We start from the raw sequence: 6,178 nt of genomic DNA on the forward strand, positions 1-6,178 counted from the left end.
TTTATAGCATTTAATTCACTTCATAAAAATTCCCTCTTTATTCTTGATCTTTCCTTCTCAACTGTGCAAATCTGAGAGCAGAGATTTTATCTTTTATTTTCAGCTTCCTCATGCCTAGTATAACATATAGAAGGTATGTGATTAATACTTATTGATTCAAAATAATTGAGTAATCTATATTTATTAATATGGAATGCTGTGTAATATATAACTATAAATTTCAGAAAGTTGCAGAGCCATTTATACATATAAATTTTCTTATATAGTTATCTATTATATATACGTATTTGAAAAATAAGCACTAGTGTCTATGTCTGTGTATTGGAGGGCATTTATGATTTATAATCCATAATTTAACCTTATGTCATAATTTTACCCAAGCAAATAGTTAATGCAATGTAAGAAATAAAGAAGAAAAACATGCAAGGAGGGAGCTTGAGAACTGATAGTGTTTATGAATTACCAGAACAGGGAATATTGTTTTAGTTGTGGTTGTTGTTGTTGTTGTTGATATTGTTCTTGTCAATATTAATGTTGTTCTGCTACAGGAGAAGCAAGGTTATGTTCAGTATCAGTTATATTCCGACATGTACATTCAGTATTACTCATATCCTGACATGTACTGCCTTTTCAGCTTACACATAAGCTGAAAGAAGCCACATTGTTTGGCTATTATTAGGATTTATAGCACTGTAGAATTATTATAGTTAACAATAATATATTAAATAGTTTTAAGTAGCTAGAAGAATATTGAACATTTCCAACACAAAAAAGATAAATATTTAAAATGATGGATATACTAATTATCCTCATCAGATCACTGTACATTATGTGTATTGAGACATCACTATAAACCTCACGGATATGTACAATTATTAGTTGTCAATTAAAAAATAAAATAGGCCAATCTTGGCCGTGCATCTTGGTGTAGTGAGCAGGCTCGGAGGTGCTCATCGCTGCTGTCATGGTTAGTTTGCTAAACTGCGTCGTCACTGTGTCCCCCCAGAACATGGGCATCGGCAAGAACGAGGACCTGCCCTGGCCACCGCTCAGGAATGAATTCAGGTATTTCCAGAGAGTGACCACAACCTCCTCAGTAGAAGGTAAACAGAATTTGGTGATTATGGGTAGGAAGATCTGGTTCTCCATTCCTGAGAAGAATCGACCTTTAAAGAATAGAATTAATTTAGTTCTCAGGAGGGACCACAAGAACCTCCACAAGGAGATCAATTTCTTGCAAGAAGTCTGGATGATGCCTTAAAACTTAATAACCAGAATTAGCAAATAAAGTAGACGTGATTTGGATAGTTGGTGGTAGTTCTATTTTATAAGGAATCCATGAATCACTCAAGCAGTCTTAAACTATTTGTCACAAGGATCATACAGGACTTTGAAAGTGACACGTTTTTTCCAGAAATTGATTTGGAGAAATATAAATTTCTGCCAGAATACCCAGGTGTTTTCTTTGATGTCCAGGAGGAGAAAGGCATTAAGTACAAATTTGAAGTACATGAGAAGAATGATTAATATGAAGGTGTTTTCTGGTTTAAGTTGTTCCCCCTCCCTCTGAAAAAAGTAGGTATTTTTAAATTAGAAAAAAAATACTTATGTTGACTTTAAATCTACGGATAATTATTTCTAAGCAATGTGTTCTTATTCCCCAGTAACCTACACTATATCTGATACCATTTATGAAACATTCTTGCTGTAACTAAGTGCCTCCCCAAGACCCTGACTGAGTCCCCAGCATGTGCTACAGTGAGCTGCCATTCCACAACCTTCACATGTGGCACTCTTGCCAGTCCTTGACATTTTCGGGCTTTTCAAATGTCGGTAGTGTTTATTAAAGATGAAGATGCACATACCCTTCCACTGAGCAGTTTCACTAGTGGGAAATACCAAAAACTTCCTGTGTGTGTATCCAGAGGTTTGTAGACAAATGTTGCAGGCTTGTTTGTAACAGTGAAAAAATTGAAAACAACCTGGAAGTCCAGTGATTGAAAAATGAATATATTTCTGTCTCAGACTGGGGAACCCAAAGCAGATTCCAAGACTGAAATTTCAGTGAAAGCAGTTTACTTGCTAGGTCTTACCAGAAATCATCAATTGAGGTATGGAGAAATGGAACTGAGAAGGTAAGGAAACCAGTTTAAAGTCAGTAAGCAGGTTCTCATTGGTAACAAGCTCCATACTGCTGAGATACAGGGAAACCGAGGGGAGAAAGCTGGAGTATTTATCAGCCACTCCTTGGTTGTCAGCTCCCTGTCCTGCAAGTGGCGGGAAAGTATTCCAGCTGCGCTATAGCAAGTCCCAAGTGTTTGCAATAAGAAGCTGCTGGCATGCACGGGAATAGTGAATGCCAAACACTTAAAGCAATTCCATGTTTAAGTATGTAAGCTCTTCATACTATTTTTTTTTTTCAGACAGAGCATCACTTTTGTTCCCCAGGCAGACTGCAGTGGCACGATTTCAGCTCACTGCAGCCTCCTCTTTCCTGGGTTCAAGTGATTCTCCTGCCTCAGGCTCCCAAGTAGCTGGGACTACAGGCGCGGGCCACCATGCCTAGCTGATTTTGTGTTTTTGGTGGGGATGGGATTTCACGGTGTCGGTCAGTCTAGTGTCAAACCCCTGACCTCAAGTGATCTGCCTGTCTCGGCCTCCCAGAATGCTGGGATTACAGGCAAGAGCCACCGCACTCGGCAGATCTTCATAATTTTTGTGTAGTAAAAAGTATAAAGTCACACATGGTTTCTTTGAAATAGTTTATAATTTAAAAAAATACAAAAGCAGGAAAACCAATTCTAATTTCAAGTGAGGGATGATGGTAGTTTGAACCAAAGGGCTGCATGTAGTATGAAATTGTGATTTAAGATATATTTTAAAGCTGGAAGTAGCAGGATATTCTGATGGAGTTTAACTTTGGTTTTGAGCCCACTGAGTCTGAGATGCCTTTGAGAAATGAAGGAAGTAGAGAGAGAATACAAGAAAAACTGGCCGGGCACAGTGGCTCACCCTGTAATCCCTGCACTTTGGTAGGCTGAGGCAGGCAGATCACTTGAGACCAGCTTGGGCAACATGGTGAGCCCCATCTCTACAAAAAGTACAAAAATTAGCTGGGCATTGTAGCACACACCTGTAGTCCCATATGCTAGGGGAACTGAGATGGAAGGAACAACTGAGCCCTCGAGTTCAAGGCTGCAGTGAGTCGTGATTTTGCCACTGCACTCCATCCTGGGTGACAGAAGAGACCCTGTCTCAAAAAAGAATCTGAAAACAATGGAACCATGCCTTCAGAATTCTAGAAAGAAAGTTATTGTCAACTGATAAATCTATTCAGCCAAATAATCAAGGGTGAAGGTGAAATAATACATTTTTAGACAAGCAAAGACTCGGGTTATCTCCATGTACCCTTTCTTGGGAAGCTAATGGAGAAAATGCTCCAGCAAAATGAAGGAGTACACAAACCAGAGAATGACATGGATCCAGCAAATAGCATCCAACACAGGCAATATTTCAGCTATGGAGCTGGCTTTAAAAAGAAGCAGTAAAAATATTAATAGGTTAGCTGGGTGGAATGGCCCATGATTATAGTCTCAGCTACTCAGGAGGCTAAGCAAGAGGATGGCTTGAGCCTAAGAGTTCCAGACCAGCCTGGCCACCATAGAGAGATGTCTTCTCTTAAAAATAATAATAGGTTATTGCCAGATTAGGGGCATTTGGGAAGAAGTTCATTGAAGATAATGCAAAGGTAAAAAAGTAAGGGGGAAGTGTTAGTTAGGCAATCATTAATTCTAGGGCAGAAAGAAGTACAGGATAGGAAGTAAGAGCATAATACACTGTTTTTCTCAACAGTGAGCAATATGTACATAGTCATAATGATGTGGTGACTGCTTAGGCCCTAAATCTGGTAACTACTTTGGGACAATATGGGAAGAAAGGTGAAGATAATGATGGTGTAGAAGCTAAATCCTCATCTGTCATATCAAGAAATCACTATATAATGTATAAAATAATCAAGAAATGACTAAGTAGTTATGTAAGGAAAAAAATAGAAGACGTTGCTAAAAGAGTTAAAAGTCATTGCTCTGGAGGATTAGGAGGGATGGGGCAGGGGACTGCTAGGATGTATTATAAACTGAAGAGTCTTTTTAAAATTACAAGTATCAATATATGCATTCACTTGAAAAACTAAAAAAATAATAATTTGGAAAAACTCATGAAAGTAACTACCAGAAGGAAAAACTAAGAGAATGAAAAGTGCTTGCCTCGGGAAAGAACAACTGCCAGGACTATTGTTTTCATTGTAAGACTTTTGGATCCATTTGATTCATTTGCATACATTTCTTTAATGAAAATAATTCTACCTTAATAAAAAGTTACCCTCATTCAAAAAAATAAAAATAAAAAATAAAGTCAGTTCAAAAATGTTTCAGACAATTATCAGGCCTCAGCAAGTAGAAATAAATAAATATACAGTCATTCTTCATCGGCTGAAAATCATATCATGGCTGTAGAATGGTATGTGAATTTTTATTTTCATTCTCTGGGTATGGCAGTAGATATAAGACAGGCCATTTGGCACACATTGAGAGATGTGTGTGCATATATGCATGTGCTATTTCATGCACACATTTAAAAACGTAATATCATTTGTAACTTTGAGGAGTCTAGTTGGTTGCTATATGAGTAATCATTATGTTGTTCTATATCTATTAATATTGTTGATCATCACCAGTCTGAAAGAAGCTAACATAAAATCACAAAATGCCATGAAGCTGAGAACTAGTGACCCCAGGAGGAAACGAACTGACTAATGGCAAAATCTTCAGAGTTATGCCTAAAATCCTCATTCTCATGAAATGCTCTCTTTTAGAACATTTCATTTGGGACACATATGGCTTCACCAGATAAACCTTTTTACTTTACACTTTGGACGGTCAACCCACAGATGTCACATTTCCAACACCACTGAATTCTCTGAAAATAATAATAATACAAAAAGGTAAAGGGAAAGAATTTGTCACTTTGACTTGGCAGACTAAATGATGTAGATCTCAGGAGGCTGGCACTGAAGATTTTCCTCTTGGGTGCTAAACTGCAGCATAAGAAAGAAATCAACAGATAATTCAATAGAAATTGTAGTATTCGTCCTTTGTTTTTTTCCTTCCCTTTTTCTGTTTTATCTTTCTCTTTTTTTTCTTTTATTTTCTGTCCTCCTTCTCCAACTTTTTCTTCATCTGATTTCTTCTTTTCTCCATTTTTTATTCCCTCTTCCTTCTCACTTCCATTCTTCCTCCTTCCCATTTTTCAGCCTTCCTTTCTTCCCTCCTTTCTTCCTTTTCTTGTCTCCTCCTACCTTCCTTCTTTTTCTCCTCCTCCTCCTTCTTCCTCATCATCTTCTGGTTTGTACTATTGAAAACTTTGCATTAAAACTTTGCATTATTAACACATTATTAACATTATTAAGACAATGAGACCCTTCTCTAAAAAAAAAAAATTAGCCAGATGTGGTGGCACACACTTGGGAGGCTGAGGCAGGAGGGAAGCTGAGGCAGGAGGATCACTTGAGCCCAGGAGTTCAAGGCTGCAGTAAGCTGTGATTGCACCACTGTACTACAGCCTGGGTGACAGAGTAAGTACCTTGTCTCAATAAAAACAAACAAAACATTTGTATTTCTGAGGAAACATTCAGACAGCAAACCATGACTTGAGAAAGGATATTATCTTATAGGGCAAAACTCATTCTAATTTAGAAAATTTAAGACGAAAAATTATTTCACTTAAGAGAAAGTGTGAGAAATAGATCATTAAACAACATATGACTTGTCATTAATTTGGTAACTTCACTGAAATAGCAGTGAGTATAATTAATACAGTTGATTCAAGGGGCCAATGGTTCTCTATTCAAACTTCTGTATATTTAAAAATATATAAACTTTGATTGCATATCAAATCTGTGGTTAAAATATCTTGAGTTGGCCAATGATATATTTTAAAACTTCCATGAATTATTGTACGTTAGTACATTCCTTATTTTAAAAATGATAGACTTCATGTGCTGTATTTCTCAAATGAAGGCGAAGAACACCTACGTTGTTCTCAATGTTTTATTTCAATACTTAAGGTATCCAGGACATAATAAGTCTTTCTTCTAAAATTAAGTAAACTGAGAAGGTTC

General features: G+C 37.0%; 1 pseudogene across 1 annotated transcript; it reads left to right on the forward strand.

The window, feature by feature from the left end:
* The first annotated feature begins 941 nt into the window (after positions 1-941).
* On the forward strand, positions 942-1,908 carry DHFRP3 (dihydrofolate reductase pseudogene 3; annotated as a pseudogene). The gene has a single exon (NR_033423.1). The product of NR_033423.1 is annotated as a dihydrofolate reductase pseudogene 3 (transcript).
* Positions 1,909-6,178: the final 4,270 nt, after the last annotated feature.

Source organism: Homo sapiens, chromosome 2 (genome assembly GCF_000001405.40).
Source record: "Homo sapiens chromosome 2, GRCh38.p14 Primary Assembly".
Taxonomy (NCBI): domain Eukaryota; kingdom Metazoa; phylum Chordata; class Mammalia; order Primates; family Hominidae; genus Homo; species Homo sapiens.